At 46.7% G+C, this 994-nt stretch overlaps 1 annotated feature.

Annotated features, from left to right (window-relative positions):
• Positions 432-481: an enhancer, noted in NCBI's record as "active region_25836". NCBI's record gives its function as "activates an Ori minimal core promoter by ATAC-STARR-seq in GM12878 lymphoblastoid cells {active_cell/tissue: GM12878}" and the evidence as "EXISTENCE:reporter gene assay evidence [ECO:0000049][PMID:35858748]".

Here is a 994-nt window from a genome sequence, read left to right on the forward strand (position 1 = left end):
ATTTGGGAGTGAATCTAAAGGAATTGATAGCCCAGTACTGCGGCTCAAGCCTGTAATCCCAGTGCTTTGGGAGGTCGAGGTGGGAGGATTACTGGAGCCCAGGAGTTCCAGGCTGCAGTGAGCTATGATTGCAGCACTGCACTCCAGTTTGGGTGACAGCTGGGAAAGAAGCCATAGAAATGCTAAAAAATGCAGAGGAGTTAAGCTGGAAGGGAAGGGGAGAGGATAGCTTTCCAGGAACTGGAAAGCACAGTTTTTATATGCGTGGGAGCAAAATTTGCACTTTCAGGCAGATGACCCCGGCTTAACCACTGTCAGGGGCACAGCAGGCTCTTCTTGAGTTGCTGCAACCGGGGCTGTGCTTCTCTGGCGGTCCCAGTGCTGCCACCTACAGGGTCTGCGAGGCAGAGCGCGCCGCCCTCGTGTCTCTCGGGAGTCTGGGTGCTGGGCAGGAAGAGCAGGACCAATACGTTCCTCACCAGCCATGCCATTAGCTCCTTTCTCTCACAGGCTTTGAATGCACCTGCCCCTAGACACAACAGTTCTGGGACACATTTCTAAACATTATTTCTAAAAGAGGGGGATAAAGAAAGAAAATAAGACCAAGTTCCACACCCAGAAGAGAAAGTGCACATCGACATGTCACCACGTGCTGGGTGATGAGTTAGTGGTTTGGCATACGTTATTGCATTTAGTCCACAAAATAGATATCATCAATATTGTCATCCACGCTACAAGGGAGGTTAAAGAATCCAATACACAATTGTTTAGAGCCTGGGCCACTCCAATTCTGAGGTCTGTATATGTCAGAACACACTACCTGACTTAAATTATTTTTCTATCTTTCCTAAGTATAAAAGCACACATAATTAAGTTGACCAAACACGATCTTTGCACATGGTAAATGCCTCTTACCTTGACCTCTTGCTTTAAAAGCTGAGACATTTCTAATGAAGATGTTTTAGCAGATATAGTCACTTACATAAGTGAGTCA

The sequence above is a fragment of the Homo sapiens genome, chromosome 7 (genome assembly GCF_000001405.40).
Source record: "Homo sapiens chromosome 7, GRCh38.p14 Primary Assembly".
Taxonomy (NCBI): domain Eukaryota; kingdom Metazoa; phylum Chordata; class Mammalia; order Primates; family Hominidae; genus Homo; species Homo sapiens.